Source organism: Homo sapiens, chromosome 3 (assembly GCF_000001405.40).
Source record: "Homo sapiens chromosome 3, GRCh38.p14 Primary Assembly".
NCBI lineage: Eukaryota > Metazoa > Chordata > Mammalia > Primates > Hominidae > Homo > Homo sapiens.
Window position 1 is genome coordinate 138,683,909 of NC_000003.12, and position 17,621 is coordinate 138,701,529.

The 17,621-nt window shown below is 37.4% G+C and overlaps 1 protein-coding gene across 14 annotated transcripts in view; it reads right to left on the bottom strand.

Moving 5' to 3' along the window:
• The window catches only part of PIK3CB (phosphatidylinositol-4,5-bisphosphate 3-kinase catalytic subunit beta), a 182,231-nt gene that overhangs the window by 31,211 nt on the left and 133,399 nt on the right, over positions 1-17,621 (bottom strand). For 13 of the 14 annotated variants that reach the window (NM_001437290.1, NM_001437286.1, NM_001437289.1 and 10 more), the window contains 5 exons: positions 14,999-15,187; positions 10,878-10,999; positions 7,092-7,235; positions 4,967-5,066; positions 717-895 (listed from right to left, as the gene is read on the bottom strand). In NM_001437290.1, coding sequence (NP_001424219.1) covers positions 717-895; positions 4,967-5,066; positions 7,092-7,235; positions 10,878-10,999; positions 14,999-15,187 — 734 coding nt within the window. Of the gene's footprint in view, positions 1-716; positions 896-4,966; positions 5,067-7,091; positions 7,236-10,877; positions 11,000-14,998; positions 15,188-17,621 lie in introns of those variants that run through there. The other variant, XM_047448315.1, reaches the window with a different exon arrangement.

Here is a 17,621-nt window from a genome sequence, read left to right on the forward strand (position 1 = left end):
TCAGACTTAGAAGAGTCCCACTTGGTAGAAAAGCAACCATGAGGACAGCCTTGGGTGGCATATACTAATGCCAGATAGGCTGGACTCAAAACCTAAGATTGGCCCTTCTCACCTTCTCCACTTAACATTCCTTCTCTCGTTTCCTTTTATTTGCTTAACTTTACATTATTACATTTAGTGAATAAAAAATTAGAACAAATCATTGGATTAAAATTAGAACTATTTTGAGACCATTCTTGATTTCTTAACAAGGGATTCATTTGAATACTGATAATATACTGAATACAGACTATTATTTTCCATTATTACTTTTGTAGGGAATGAGAAAGTGAGAAATAAGTTGCCAAATTCACTCAAGACAAGATCTTATTTTAAAATAGGAAAATCAATCAGTAAATAATTTACTACAGTTTGCAACATTTTGCTTATTAGGATTGTCAACTCTTAAAAATCAGTAATATAGAAAATAAATTTAATTACATATAATTGAAATATAAATTCATTTGTAATAACTTTCACTAAATCCACTGGTAAGTTTAGCTGATAAGCATACATCCTATTGAATATAAGCATAGCCTCGGAGAACTTTTAAGATTTTCCTTCCTTAATTATATTCTACTTCCTGAGGCTGACAGCTGGCCCTACTACTCCCATAAGGCAGTGACTTTCTGCTTGCTATTCATAGGAGATTCACTGCGCAAAGCACAGTCACTTACTAGAGTTCTGAGAGGATAACACATGGGTTCAGGGGTGACTGCAGGTCAGAGAGGGCTTCCCGGTAAGCACTCTGTTTTAAACAGGTATGCATGGCCTCCTTCCCTTTGGCTCTGTTTAACTTCACGGCATTCAGTTTGATTAAACTATTTAAAGTTTTTAACTTATTGAGTGCTTCAACCTGAAAAATAAGTTCCCCACACCAAAAATTCATTTGACTAAAAGTAATATAATATCATGTGATCATATCAATCAATAACACCTGCTCCCAACATATACACATAACCATAAACACACATAACCAGCTGAAGTAAAAATAGTGTCTGACTTACGAAAAGCATTTTACATACAATAAACTTATTTTTAACAGTTGTTATAGCATCATTTTCAAACTTTCTTTAAACCTTTTCTTAAACAAAATCTTACAAATTCGAGAAAAGCAGACTTAGATTATGGGTACTTAAGATAAATGTGGGCCAGGTGCGCACTATGGGTACTTAAGAAGATAAATGTGGCCCAGCACTTTGGGAGGCTGAGGCAGCTGGATCACTTGAGGTCAGGAGTTTGAGACTAGCCTGGGCAACATGGCGAAACCCTATCTCTACAAAAAGAAATACAAAAATTTGCTGGGCATGGTGGCACTTGCCTGTAATCCCAGCTACTTGGGAGGCTGAGGCATAAGAATCGCTTTAACCTTGGAGGTGGAGGTTGCAGTGAGCCAAGATTAAGCCACTGCAGCACTCCAGCCTGGGTAAGAGAGTGAGAAACTGTCTCAAAAAAAAAAAAAAAAAAAAAAAAAAAGAAAGAAAGAAAGAAGATAAATATGAAACTTAAACTACTCAAAATTCTGCAATTCATTGTATAGTAGAATTTGAGACATCACTAACCTAAACCAGTCCATTTGGCCAACTTCCTAGTATTAGAGAAAAACCTATGTAGAAGTAACTCTGAGGTTCTTGCTATTCAACCTTAATATCTACTTCTTGTCATCACTCTTGTATGATATCTCAATATATTCTATTTCCATTAACAGCATAGCTAGAACGAATTATTTTATAATAAAGTGTGAATATAGACATGCTATTTGTTATTCAAATCTAAATTACTTGTTTTTATAATAACTATGGCTATCAAAACTTATGCAAGTAAAAAAAAAAACTTATGCAAGTAGTACAAGGTGTATCAACAATGGCCAACTAAATCAAAACCATTATGTTTAAAATTCAACTTTAGGCTGGGTGTGATGGCTCACGTCTGTAATCCCAGCACTTTGGGAAACTGAGGCAAGTGGATGAGTTGAGGCCAGGAGTTCAAGACCAGCCTGGCCAACATGGAGAAACCCCCTATCTACTAAAAATACAAAAATTAGCCAGACACGGTGGTGTGCACCTGTAATCCCAGCTACTCAGGAGGCTGAGGCAGGAGAATCACTGGAACCTGGGAGCTGGAGGCTGCAGTGAGCCAAGATCGTACCACTACACTCTCCAGCCTGGGCAACACAGTGAGACTATGTCTCAAAAAATAAATAAATCAGGGTCAGGTGCAGTGGCTCATGCCTGTAATCCCAGTATTTTGGGAAGCTGAAGTGGGCGGATCACTTGAGGTCAGGAGTTCAAGACCAGCCTGGCCAATATGGTGAAACCTCCTCTCTACTAAAAATACAAAAATTAGCCAAGCGTGGTGGCGCACACCTGTAATCACAGCTACTAGGGAGGCTGAGGCAGGAGAATCACTTGAATCTGGAAGGCAGAGGTTGTAGTGAGCCAAGATCATGCCACTGTACTCCAGCCTGGGTGACAGAGTGAGACTCCATCACAAAAAATAAAATAAATAAATAAATAATAACAACAAATAAAATTCAACTTTATTATTTAATAACTGAGGGTCTTTTATGTCACAGTACATAAAATTCATAACAACTTCAGCCACGCATAAAGAAGGAGCAGCTTATTTTACAAGTATATCATTAAAACTGGAAAAAACAAATGTTAAAAATAGAATTAAAAAGTATACCGTAACAAGCATATAAAATATGTCTATCACAAATATAAACAATGTGGCTTGAAATTCCATGAACAAGAGATTTAATTTATAACATGTTTTCATTTTTAAATTCTGCTTCTATGCAAGGAAACCACTAAGACTATGTAGGGAGATGAATTCAAGCATGCAGTTTCCACAGAGGCTGAGACCTTGCTCACAGGAAACTAGGAAGGACCTATGCAGCTTGATGATAAAATTGAGATGGCTGAAACTTACCAAGTTAGCCATCTGTTAAAACCACAGATCACTCTACTTCTCAACAGTTTCAGGAGCTGTACAAACACTGGTGACAAGGCAACCAGATAAAAACTGGGCTAAGCAAACAGGAACTTTTTACAAGTATGTGAAATTTGAAACTTCTTCCATGTCTGTACAGTTGAAAGTTTTCATGCTCCATCTCTAATTGTGTTGATATCCACACTTCCTGGAACAGTGTCCTGAATACCCCATGGACATAAGTCTAATACTTTAAGTGTTTCAACACCTTGTCCTTTTGTAAGTTTATAGTAATAACAAGAACAGCTATGTACAGGGTAAAGTCTTCCTCTCACAATTCATCAATCAAAAAAAAAAAAAAACAGGAGTTAGAATAATTTGTTCATACATATATCATCCTTTTATTGTCTTTAACATCAAGCTGAGGCTCCCAGAAAATATGCAGTGTGGAAAATGGTTATATGATGACAATAAGCAAGTTATGACTAAGTATGGCCTAACAGGCTTTGGCAGAAAATTTGAATTTTACTCATAGTGCAATGAAAAATTATTGAAGGGATTTTAAAAGGGAAATGATGTAATACAATCTACTTCTTTTTTTGAGACAGGGTCTTGCTCTGTTGCCCAGGCTAGGGTGTAGTGGTACAATCAAATCATAGCTCACTGCAACCTCAAATTCCTGGGCTCAAGCAATCCTCCCACCTCGGCCTCTCAAGTAGCTGGGACTACAGTTGCAAGCCACCTTCTAATTTTTTCTAGAGATGGGTCTCACTATGTTGTGCAGGTTAGTCTCAAACTTCTGGGCTTAAGTGATCCTCCCACCTTAGCCTTTCAAAGTGCTGGGTTTTCAGGTGTGAGCCACTGCATCTGGCCACAGTCTACATTTTTAAAATGTCACTTTATCTTCTGTGTATAGAATGTTGGGGGAGATGTAGGAAGGGAAACACGGGGTACAATTTAGATAGTTAATGAAGAAGTCCAGTGAAAAAGAATAGTAGCTTGGACTAGGATGGTAGCCATGAACACAAGGGAAATAGGCAGAGATGTGAGATATATTTCAGGGTTCTATAAAATTCAGAGGATTAATAATATTGATTCCATGTTGTTGTTAAGAATAAATGACCCATAATAAGTGATGAATAAACATTAGCTATTATTACAATCATTAATGGGCTTTTCAAAAGTAAGGGATCAGAAAAAGTTTTTAACATCATGAAAAATCCTAAATATTAAAAACACCTAATGGAAGCCTATGAGAGTTCTTCTGGCAATGCAAATGAATTAGAAAAGAGTAGTTTAACTGGAAATTAGGAATCTGATATAAAAATAGGGTGGGGCAGCCAGGTACGGTGGCTCACACATGTAATCCCAGCACTTTGGGAGGCCGAGGCGGGCGGATCACGAGGTCAGGAGTTCAAGACCAGCTTGGCCAACACAGTGAAACCCTGTCTCTACTAAAAATACAAAATATTAGCTGGGCATGGTGGCGCATGCCTGTAGTCCCAGCTACTCGGGAGGCTGAGGCAGGAGAATCGCTTGAACCCGGGAGGCGGAGGTCGCAGTGAGCCAAGATAGTGCCATTGCACTCCAGCCTGGGCAACAGAGCGAGACTCTGTCACAAAAAAAAAAAAAAAAAAAAAGGGTGGGGCTGGGTGTGGTGGTTCACATCTGCATTTCTTAGCACTTTGGGATTAATATAGAATATATTAGGAATGCCGAGTAATTATTTTTCAGGTAGCATTCAGTTAATATTTTTGTGCTAAGTTCATTGAAACTTCATTTTTTGACTTAAATTTTGACAAAAGAATGTATTCATCAGGTTGTCTGTTACTGAGACTTCTATGAAATAATGTGGTGGGAGAAATGGCATTTGATAAAACTGATCAAACACCAAGTACCAAATTGAACATGAAGATTAAAACAAGCTGATATTCATGCTTTAAACGTTGTCTGTCAAAAAAAGAAAAAATGAATAAATAAAACAAGCTGATACCTGCTTAGAAAGCACTTTCATGTGCCCCACACTTCCCCGGCAGTATGCTTCAAGGATGACACCAAATTGTACTGAGACAGCAGGAATGTGCACTTCTGACCTGCAGAAAGTTAATGATATCTGAACAGTTTGTTTATCAAACACTTCAGATCACCGAATAAATACTGACTTCTTTATTCTACAAAAAATAAACTTATGATGGCAAGGTCATTGTGTGCATTATTATTTCCTTCCTCCCTTCCTTCCTTTTTTGAGAGTCTCACTCTGTTGCCCAGGCTGGTGTGCACTGGTGTGATCTCGGCTCACTGCAATCTCCACCCACCGGGTTCAAGCTTGCCTAAAATAAAAAAGTGTAGCTAGATGTCGCTAGGTGACTAGGTTCTAGCCAACAGGATGCAAGATGAAGTGATGTGCACAAAAAATGAGTCCTGGACTTAGAAGGAAATGCTGGTCCCTCCCCTTCCCTCCCCTCCCCATTTCTGGCTCGAATGTGGATGGGGTGGCCAGCCCCTTCATACTTGCGATTCTCCTGCCTCAGCCTCCCGAGTAGCTGGGATTATAGGCATGCGCCACCATGCCTGGCTAATTTTGCATTTTTAGTAGAGACAGGGTTTTGCCATGTGGCCAGGCTGGTCTAAACTCCTGGCCTCAAGTGATCCATCCACCTTGGCCTCCCAAAGTGCTGGGAACAGGCATGAGCCACCACGCCTGGCTACTTTGTGCATAATTATTAGTGACATGGGTCAACTTTCCAATTTGTTAAACTTCAAAGTTCAAAAGCTATGATATTCTATAATTAGTTAATACTTCAAAGTTCAAAAGCTATGATATTCTATAATTAGTTAATACTTCAAAGTTCAAAAGCTATGATATTCTATAGTTAGTTAATACTTCAAAGTTCAAAAGCTATGATATTCTATAATTAGTTAATTCTTTATTCCAAGAAGTCTAAAATGTGTACATCTTACCTGATTTGCTTTTGTACGGGTAAGGCAATCTTACCAATTTAAAGACAATAGGCTGAAACAGGTATCTATGAAATCTGACTGGTATTAAACAATTGACTAATGCCCTGATTAGCATCTATTCCAATTTTTTTCTTACTTAAAAAGTGATGTACATATTTGAAAAAGGAAGGAATACTTATTTTGTTATTCCCTGAGAGGTTTAAAAACTAAGACTGAATGAATGAGAAAAGACAAGTTAAAAATAAGAAAAGGTTCTAGAACAACACAAGAAAGTAAAAAAAAGAGTGGAAAAAAATATATGAATAAGAAAACCATATTCAGAAATAAAACTAAAATTAAGAGCACAACATTATAGAGCTTATTGCCTTTGAGAAGCTCAGCAAAGAAAAGAAAAAAGAAGAAAAGAAGAAAAAGAAAAGAAAAGGAAGGAAGGAGAAAGAGAGAAAGAAAGAAAAAAGGTAGTTTTTTTTTCTGACAAGCATTAGTTTCAGCACTATGAAGTCCAGATTGGGAGGGAAAAAAAATGTCTGAGTACAGAGTCAGAAATGAGAAATCTATTAATACAATTTCCTTAGAAAACAAAGGAATAACTTTAGTTCTCATTCCTGATTTTACTCTTATATGAACTTGGTGAAGTAAGGTTCGTGTATTTCTGGAAATTACCTACTTAATAAAGAAATTGAATAAAATTGCTGTCATTATAGTATACCTTTACCTTCACTCAATAACACTAGTAATGACAGTACCACCCACAACTTTCTAGATGAAATAAATAGGTCTGCATTGAGCCCAAATATATTAAGACAATAAGTACACTTTACTGGAAAATAGCAATACATTATTAATTTCAGTTAAAAATCAAGCAGGTAGAAAACACACACAAAAAAAAAAAAAAGAAAGGAAGGAAGAAATGAAGAAATCAAGCAGGCATGGAGGGACACATAAGGGTCTTGGATAACTGAATTACTTTGTCAAATCTCAAATCATAAAAATCAAGAGTGCTGGTATCAAGAAACAGGAGAAGGCACCAAAACCATATAAATGTTATAAACGGTTCAGAAAAAAACTAAAGCAGCTATTTTTCTATTAAATATATTATGCTTGTTTATAGTTACTAAAGCACCTGGTGGGCTCAAAGTAAAATATAAAAGACTTACCTAAGATGCCAAAATAGAAACTGCCCTATCCTCCGATTACCAAGTGCTCTTTCTAATAGGAATCTAGAGAGGGCACAATCAAGAAAAGGCTCATATTTTAACACTTGCACCAGTTGTAAAAGATATTGAGAAAGTTCTTCATCACTGAAAGAAACAAAAGACACAGTGAGTAACCAAACAACCTGTGCCAGAAAAAGATCCCTTGGTATCAAACTATCAAATGTGAACTTGTTGAAACACAATGGTTCTTTTGGGCCAGGCTTGTTACATGCTTTCCTTCACTGTACCACTGTTACAATATCACAAAAAAAGCTGAAGATTTCAGATGGGGAAAAGGGAGTCAAGAGGGTCAAAGAACAGATACTAGAGATATTTTAATCAAATGAATTAGATTGTGATATGGTCTGGCTTTTGTCCCTACTCAAATCTCACCTCAAATTATAATCCCTATAATTCCCACATGTCAAAGGAGCATCCTGGTGGGAGGTGACTGAATCAATGTGGCCCTCCATGCTAGTCTCATGACAGTGAGTGAGTTCTCATGAGATCTGATGGCTTCATAAGAGGTGGTTTCCCCTGCTCTTTCCCTTTTCCTGCCACCTTGTGAAGATGGTACTTGCTTCTCCTTCGCCTTCTACCATAATTTTAAGTTTTGTGAGGCCTCCCTAGCCATGTGGAACTGTGAGTCAATTAAACATCTTTCCTTTATAAATTACCCAGTCTCAGGTAATTCTTTATAATGGTGTGAAAATGGACTACTACAGATTGTTAAAATTCATGACTGTATTTTCAGTCAGCTAAGAGTTACCAAAAATATTAGGTACTTTAATACTGATTTCTGATCATGCTAAAAAATTTGTGCTTAGTAAAACAATCATTTTTAAAATAAAAATTCCATCAGTACTTTCACAATTTATTTTCCTTTGCTGTTATTAGGGTTAAGTTGTCCCAGATAACCAATGTACAATTAAAATCTTAACTTCAAATAGTTTGAAGGATGAGAAAGTGAATACATTTATAAGTGGGAATTGATCATTGAAATAATATAACAGATAACATTGTAATTAACTGAGCTCAATTAATTAAGGTTAGTGGTTCTCTATTTTGTGTCAATCTCCAAACCATTCTACCTGTAAACACACTCCTATCAGAGGCAACTCCAGCAGTATAAGGTATGAAGCCCAAGTGCCCCAAGTGCTCCACTTACTCTCCACAGTATTGGGTAATAAATGGTTAAGGAATTAGTAGTCTAAGGCAGATATCTGGGACTGAAACCCAGGGCACTATATACCAAAACCAAAAACTCATAACCAGAAATTTCACAATAGAAAAACCACCAGAATTAGCTACACGGAATACACGGATCACTGCCATCTCCTCAGAGGGATCAATGCGTTTAAGAAAAACACTTGGCTCAGCCCAAGGAGAACCAGGTGGCCCCTCCACAACAGGTCTCCAATGCAAACTTAAGCAGATGGTGAAGCAACTGGGAATTCATTTTTTAAAACTATCTATAACACAATTTTGATTAGGTTTATTGTAAAATTCATGCCCACTATATAACCTATAAATAGTGTAAAAAATAGAAAGTATAGGAATAGGAAGCTGTTTCCTCTTCTCTCACATTTCTAATTTCACTCCCCAGAAGTAAGCACTATTGGTGAGTCTGTGTAATTACTTTTGGCTATTACACAGCTTAAAACATACACGATTTTAAAAAGAAAAAAGGATCATAGTATCCACACTATTTTGTGGGCTTTTATGTTTCAAAAACCATAAAGTACATAAGCCTCACTTTTGAACCTAGAAAGAAAATGGATAAACTTCATTGTCTGAGACAGTCATTTCTTCAGTGAATCTCATAGATTCTCACAAATGCACCATCCAAGGGAGACTGTACAAACATGTTCACTGAAGCATTATTTATAATAGGGAAATGTGGAGAAACTTAAATATTCCTTAATAGGGAATGAATTAAATAAGATATATCCCTATGACAGAATATTACACAGTAGTGAAAGGAATAAATGACATTTAAACATAATGGGAGAGACTAACCTCAAAAACCTGATGTTGAATTTTTATTTATTTATGTATTTGTATTTTATTTTTTGAGACAGGGTCTCACTCTGTCACCCAGGCTGGAGTGTAGTGGCACCATCTCAGCTCCTGCAACCTCCGCCTCCAGGGCTCAAGTGATCCTCCTACCTCAGCCGCCCAAGTAGCTGGGACCACAGGTGCGCACCTCCACGCCCAGCTAATGTCTCTGTATTTTTGGTAGAGACGGGGCTTAACCATGTTGCCAAGGCTGGTCTCAAACTCCTGGGCTCATCGATCTGCCTGCGTTTGTCTCCCAAAGTGATGGGATTATAGGTGTGAGCCACCACAGCTGGCTGAATTATTATTATTTTTTTTTGGAGACGGAGTCTCGCTCTGTCAACCAGGCTGGAGTGCAGTGGTACGATCTCTGCCCACTGCAACCTCTGCCTCCTGGGTTCAAGTGATTCTTCTGCCTCAGCCTCCTGAGTAGCTGAGATTACAGGCACCGGCCACCACGCCTGGCTAATTTTTTGTATTTTTAGTAGAGATGGGGTTTCACCATGTTGGCCAGGCTGGTCTCAAACTCCTGACCTCAAGTGATCTGCCTGCCTCAGCCTCCCAAAGTGCAGGGATTACAGGCATAAGCCACCACACCCAGCCATCTGGCCAAATTTTTAAAAAGCATGATATAAACTAATGCATATGGCAAGACACATTTGTGTAATAATAATTCCATGTCTATATTTTCATAGATATATATGAAACAGAAAAATGTGATATAGAAGCATACACACCAAATTCATGATAATGTTTGCCTCTGAGAAGGAAGAGAAGTAATCAAGACTGGATAAGGAAACTATGAGGACTTCAACTTTAACTGTAATGTATTTGCTTAAAATATATATATATATATATATATATATATATTATATATATATATATATATATATATATTTTAAACCCATGACAAAAATTAACATTTCTTAATTCTGGAGGGTGGATAGACTGTGTGAAGAAAAGAGGTAACACAGCAGGCTTGGCTGCTATCCTCTAACAAGCCTGCTTATAGGATTGGCCCATGGCTAGCATCTGGGAATTAAGATTTCAGGATTCCCACCACCCTCCCTAATTGATAAGAGTGGCTCACTGCACCTAAACTATTTGTGCAAATAATGGTTTATGTTGTATATCCACTTTACTGCTGGGAGTATAGAAATCTGGTACATGCTAGGCAGAGGGTGCTTATGTGATAGCTGCCCGTAAAAACCGTGGCCACGAAGTCTCTAACAAGCTTCCCTTGCAGACTTGTATTATCACAACTCACTCCTGATAGAAATAAAAGTGTTTGGGGTGACTTCACTGGAAAAGAACTCTTACAAGCTTATGTATGCCTGTTTTCCTCATGACTTCACCCCATGAACCTTTTTCCCTCTTTAAATTTTGCTCTGTATCCTTTTGCTGCAATAAATTATATCTGTAAGTGACTATGTGCTGAGTTCTGAGTCCTCCCAGTGAGTCATCAAACCTGAGGGTGATCTTGAGGACCTTCTGACCTAGCATGCTTTTGGTTTTTTTTTTCTAGTATAAACATTGAGTTGGGGAGCTGGCAGGAGTACATGAGCAAATGCTTTGAACTGTGAATAATTCTGAGCCCTTTTCTTTCTTATGAGACATCAAGGAGACACCCTCATCCCAAACCCACCCAAGTTATTCCTTGCCCCAAAGAAAACCACCTGCAGAAGATACCTCATCTGTCGCAGGCAGCCTACAGCATATTCTCGAACGTACTGGTCTGGATAGTTGAAATCCAGAAGCTCTAGGGCCTCCCGGGGGGGCAGTTTAGGCCAAATCTGAAGCAGCGCCTGAAGCTGTTTAAAAAATGAAACTGGTTCAGAAATAATGGGGGACAAAAGTAATCTAATTTTCCTTGACACACAGGAGCACCAAGATAGGTCAAAAGAAGGCAAAGCTCACTTTTAATTATTGATGCCTCAAAAATCCATTCCTGTTAATAGAGACTAATAAAGATTGTCTTTGTTGTTGAAACATTCTATAGATTAAGTCTGAAAAGCTATGAAGTACTTACCCCCAAATAAATTTTATGGGTGAGAGAGAAAAAAATGTTGAATTTGTAGCCTTTCTAAAGCTCAATTCCATCTGATAAAATCTTATTCCTTAGTATTTAATTTCTCTCATTGGATTTTCCTGGGTATCACCTAAGTACCACTGACATCAACGTCATGGAAGGTATATGATATGTATGCAAGATCACTGCTGTAAAACTATGGCAAATAGATGGCAGTGGTTAGAGGATTTTCTTTCAATTGATTGCTCAAAGTCATACTGGGAGAGGTGGCCTGCAAGCTTGTTGGCTATCTTGTGGATGTTAAGTTTTATTCTCCGACCAATTAAGCTTTGAGAATTCAATAAAAACCGTTTATATTTTATTATTTAATTCTACAAGTTATTCAATCTATAATTATGGCAAGCCCTCCCCCAAAAGTCAACAATATCTAAATGAGTATCTACCAGCTAAGTTAAAAGGCATTTTCTCATATCAAGCAAAAGTAAATAAAAGTTAACTAATTTTTTAAAAATTAGCTTAATTTTTTCAGTTGTTTTACATTTGAAAAATATTTTTGCGAAAACAATACTTTTGAATGATTTTTTAAAATTTAATTACTCTATTATTAGCATATATTTATATAAATTGTTAACTTTTTTCTGAGACAGTTTCACTCTTGTTGCCCAGGATGGAGTACAATAGTGCAATCTTGGCTCACTACAACCTCTCCTTCCTGGATTCAAGCCTCCTCCCAGATTCTCCTGCCTCAGCCTCCCGAGTAGCTGGGATTACAGGTGCCTGCCACTATGCCCAGCTAATTTTTTGTATTTTTTTTTTTTTTTTTTTTTTTGAGATGGGGTTTCACCATGTTGGCCAGGCTGGTCTTGAACTCCTGACGTCAGGTGATCCACCCACCTTGGCCCCAAAGTTCTGGGATTACAGGCATGAGCCACTGCACTCAGCATAAATTGTTAACTTATATATGTAATTTGACACATTAGAATTCACCTACGTGAATAAATTACATAGTTACTTAGCAAATACAGTGGAATGCCTAGTAATTTTTAAATTTTAACCTTTTTTTTTTTTTTTGTAAGAGATAGGGTCTCATTCTGTTGTCCAGCCTGGAGTGCAGTGGCACTATCGTACCTCACTGCAGCCTTGAACTCCTGGGTACAAGCAATCCTCCCAACTCAGCCTCCTGAGTAGCTAGGACTACAGGAACACGCCACCATGCCCAGCTAATTTTATTTCATTTATTTATTCTTGTAGAGATAGGGTCTCGCTATGTTGCTGGTCTCAAATTCCTAGACTCAAGTGATCCTCCTGCCTCTGCTTCCCAAAGTGCTGGGATTACAGGCTTGAGCCACCATACCCAGCCTAAATTTTAACTTTAAACTTAAGTTTTACTTAGCTATTCTTAACCCTATATTGAATAAGGCTAGCTCTTTTTTTATGTATAAAGCACAGATACAAATACGTACATGAAAAGATGTACCATGTATCTACGGAATCAAAATCTCATGGGTTATTGGGGGGAAAAGGGTCTATAAAAGCTCCTAAAGGTATAGTGATGAAAACAGGTTGAGAAATACTGATATAAAGACATAAAGCACCAACCTCATCCCCAATTTTTCTCACTAATAGATCCCCCCTCCCTGCTTTGCCAAAGGCCCTAATGGACCAGCAGTCTTCTTTATGAGCAGAAGAGTTGGGAAGAGACCATTTCCTGGGTTTTGAAATAGCAGTAATAAAAAAAACTCCTCATATCTCCAGTTAATACTTGGAATACACTGCCCATAAATAACACTGAAAAGGAGAGATAAGATTATGTAATACTAGAGGTTCAACAATGTTGTGGTTAAAAACAACTCTACCATTGGAAAGTAATGACTTTGGTAAGATTATTTATAATTATTAAAAATTAAATCATGTAAGTGTAAAATTAAATAAATTGCCAAAACTCACCAAACCTCTCTATAAGACAGCTTTTAAGAGTACAGCAAGAAATTCTTTCCATTGTGATTCTAATGAAATAATATGATGCATTTCTTAGATATGTACTCAGCACTAGACACTATCCAAAAGAAACAGGCAAATGTGTCAACTAAAAAAATGCTTAGATCTTGTTTTCCATTACTGAAGGTTCATGGAAAACGAATCCTGAATTTAGATAATACATCAGTGGCTAGAAGACAATAACTATTCTACAGCAATTAAAATAAAATAGTTCCTTTTCAGTCTAATTTGGTCTAAGGTGGAAACAAGTTTAATCGAGGTACACACAATAATATAATTATATAACATGTCTCCAAAGATTTATTTATTTATTTATTTATTTATTTATTTGAGACAGGGTCTCCCTCTGTCACCCAGGCTAGAATACAATGGCACAATCTTGGCTCACTGCAACCTCAGCCTCCCGGGCTCGAATGATCCTCCTGTCCCAACCTCCCGAGTAGCTGGAACAGGCGTGCACCACCATGTCTGGTTAATTTTTGTATTTGTTGTAGAGACAAGGTTTTGCCATGTTGCCCAGGCTGGTCTTAAATTGCTGAGCTGGTCTCAACCTCCTGATCTGCCCACCTCAGCCTCCCAAAGTGCTGGGATTACAGACATGAGCCACAGACCCCAGCCATTTTATTTTTTTGAGACAAGGTCTCACTCTATTGCCCAGGGTAGAGTGCAATGGCATTTGGTTCACTGCAGCCTCAACCTCCCAGATTCCAACAATTCTCCCATTTCAGCCACTCAAGTAGCTAGGACTACAGGCACATGCCAGCATGTCCAGCTAATGTTTGTATTTTTTGTAGAGATGGGGTTTCACCATGTTGCCCAGGCTGGTCTGGAACTCCTGAGCTCAAGCGATCCACCTGCCTTGGCCTCCCAAAGTGCTGGGATTAGAGGTGTGTGCTACCATGCCTGGCTCCAAAGATCTTTAGACACTAAAAGTAAACACAAAAGAAATCCTTTCTACTCTTAAATTGAGAAGTGAAACAATAAATCCAAAGATTTTTAAAATGCATATAATTAAGATAAATCTGTATTTCTTCACTAAATTTTTAGTCACTATAGATTTACTAAGACTACATACTAGAGAGATTCATTGAACTGAAATAAGTAACATGAAAAAATTTGGTTATTTTAGTAGACCAAATTTATTTGTTCTGATTAAAAAACCCATTTCAAAGGTCTTTCTATTGAGCACTGGTGGGTTGTTTGAATTGAATAAATGCCAGTGCTTTTTGGCAGGGTCTTGAAAATTAAATCAGGGAACTAAAATTTGGTGGGTTTCTGAAGCAAAATGGTCTTTTTTCTATTCTGTCAAAACGCATACATTCAGCAATACTGGACAACTGAAATGAATGTTAAAATTGACCTGAATGATATATTATCTAAAATATTATTCTCTGTAATAGATGTAATTTTCAAACAATGGACATTCATTCTAGAACAGTCATTGCAAAGAGTCTAAAAGATTTAAAACTCTGGAGTTCACTGATGAAGCTGGTAGAAGGTACCCACGTCTTAGAAAGTGGTACTTTTGATAGATAATTGTCCCAAGATCAATGTTTCAATTGTATTTGGTGAAAGGTATGGCAATCCTACCCAAAATCTGAGATTTTTAAATTCTGGAAATGTTCTGGTCCATTACTTGGAGTATAAGAGTTTAAAACCTCAAAATTTCTCCTGCTTAAATTATCCTATCTATGAAAATATACCTATGAGAAAAGGATACTTTATGTGAATCCAACCAAGTACCATACACCCAAAAAAAGTTATAGAAACGATCTTTTGTTACCTGAGCAACATCCTCAAGTTTATTCCACTTGATTGACAGCAGTAATTTTGGCAGTGATTGTGGGAAAATCTCTCGGCAGTCTTGTCGCAAAGTCCAAATAAGATCCATTTCATTTTCACACAGTTGAGACAAGGGATCCCTGTCCAAGATTTCTTTCAATACAGGAAGAAACTTTTTTCCACCTCGACTCTAAAAAAGTAAAATGCTCATTATAGAATTTAATTGTGCAAACACCACAGCGAACTTTCAGTAAATTTATATATATTTATATATAATAAATGAACCTAAGTATGTGAGATACAAAAATATAATTCCATAAAAAAAAAAAAAAGGTAGATCCTTTAATAATTTCTAAGCTAAGGATGAAGAGATTCTTAAAACAGTTTCTAAAAATCTAAAAATGTAAACTGTGCAAACACTGGGTGGCAGTATTGCTTTTTGGATAAAAATCCAAGTCAGGCCAGGCAAGGTGGCTCACGCCTGTAATCCCAACACTTTGGGAGGCCAATGTGGGTGGGTGGACTGCCTGAGGTCAGGAGTTTGAGACTAGCCTGGGCAACGTGGTGAAAACCCGTCTTTACAAAAAATACAAAATACAAAAAAAAAAGGATAATGAGGTGGAGACTAAGAAGACAGTTATAAGACTAGAAGACTGATTACAAACAGGGGATTGAGCAAATAAGTAAATACACCAAAGTTAACAGAAATCCAGATTTCTCATCATTAGAAAAGGGAATTACAAATATGAAAAGACAAAGACTAGAAAATATACAGTGGGAATGGATCCATATTAGAGGTATTGATGAGAACTCATGGTCTTTAATAGATGGATAAATAAATATATCTCTGTGTATGTTTATTTTCCCAAACATATGGAGGTAAACAAATATATACTGTCTAGCTCTGTTTCACAAAAGGGCCTGGAAGCAACTGCACCCCTGCATTCTCCAAGGAGCACTTACTTACTTTATACCCAGGGGCAATGAGCATATCCAGGGCCTAGATCTTACACAGGCCAGGTATGGTGGCTCACGCCTGTAATCCCAGCACTTTGTGAGGCTAAGGCAGGAAGACTGCTTGAGCCCCGGAGTTCAAGAACAGCCTGGGCAACAAAGTGAGACCCCTAATTCTACTAAAAAAAATAGAAATTAAAAAAAAATTTTTAAATAGCTAGGTATAGTGGCATGTGCTTGCAGTTCTAGCTACTCAGGAGGCTGAGGTGGGAGGATCACTTGAGCTCAGGAGGTTGAGGCTGCAGTGAGCCATGATCGTGTCACTGCACTCCAGTCTGGGCAACAAAGCGAGACACTGTCAATCCATTCCATCCGTTTGTTTATCCGTCCGTCCATCCATCCATCCATCCATCCCTACATACTTTTCACAAATAAAAGGAATAAACTGAATATAAAAAATGAAACTCTCCGGAGAAATGCCTGATTCCAAGGCTGGGGTAGGGAAAGTACTAGATGAGTGTGGAATACGCTGTTGTATCGGAAAGAAAGAAATGCTCAAAGAATGATAGGGACAAAGCAAAAAGAGACAAGAGACAGCTTAAATGGGCTCCCATGAGCCAGATCTGGGATAAATTAAACATTAAGATAAATGACAGTAACTAATTACAAATCATCGAATAAATGGAAATCACAAATCCATCTCCTATAAGTTAAAAAAAAGAAGAAAGAAAAAAGAGATGAATGGGGGAGAAGAGGAGTTCAAGGCTGCAGTGAGCTATGACTGTACCATTGCACTCCAGCCCGGGCAACAGAGCAAGACCCTGACTCTAAAAAGATAGATAGATAGATAGATAGATAGATAGATAGATAGATAGATAGATAGATAGAGATAGAGTAGAAGAAAAGCCTCTAACCTATGTTATAAGCCAACTAATAAATCCAAAACGAAAAGCAAGATTTAAAATTGGCAACCCACTGCAGTAACACTGATTCAAGGAAGATGTATTAGTGAATGCAAAAAGAAGTGGGTGACAGCTTGATCTGAAATAGAATGTTTACTTAGTGTCAAAATACGCCCCCACAAAACCTTTATTTATTAACTTTATACTAGAAAAACCTAGCAGACACCGTACTAACCAAGGGATAACAGTTAACTTCCAGAGTAGTGGTAAAAGCCGATATTGCCTCCTGATAAAATGCAGTAAGAAAACTACACCTTTACTTCTTTGATATTCACACTAAAAATGCATAACTGGGATCCTAAACATGACAAAACATCAGGCAAATCCAAACTGAGGGATATTCTATAAAATAATTGGCCTATAGTCTTCAGAAATGTCAGTCATTAAAGATTAAAAAAAAAAAAACAAAAAACAAACAAACAAAAAAACACTGAAGAACTGTTTCGGACTGAAGGAAGCTAAATATACCTGACAATGAAATGCAGCAAGTAACCAGAGATTGGATCCAAGACTTATAAAGCACATGACTGAGAAAACTGGCTAAATTTGAATAAAATCTGTAGATTATATAGAACTGAATCAGTATTATTTTCCTGACCTTCATGAATCTACTCAGGTTATGTATAAAAATGCCATTTTTTAAAGGAAATACTGAAGAATTAAGGGGTAAAAGGACATGATGTGGCCGGGCGTGGTGGCTGACGCCTG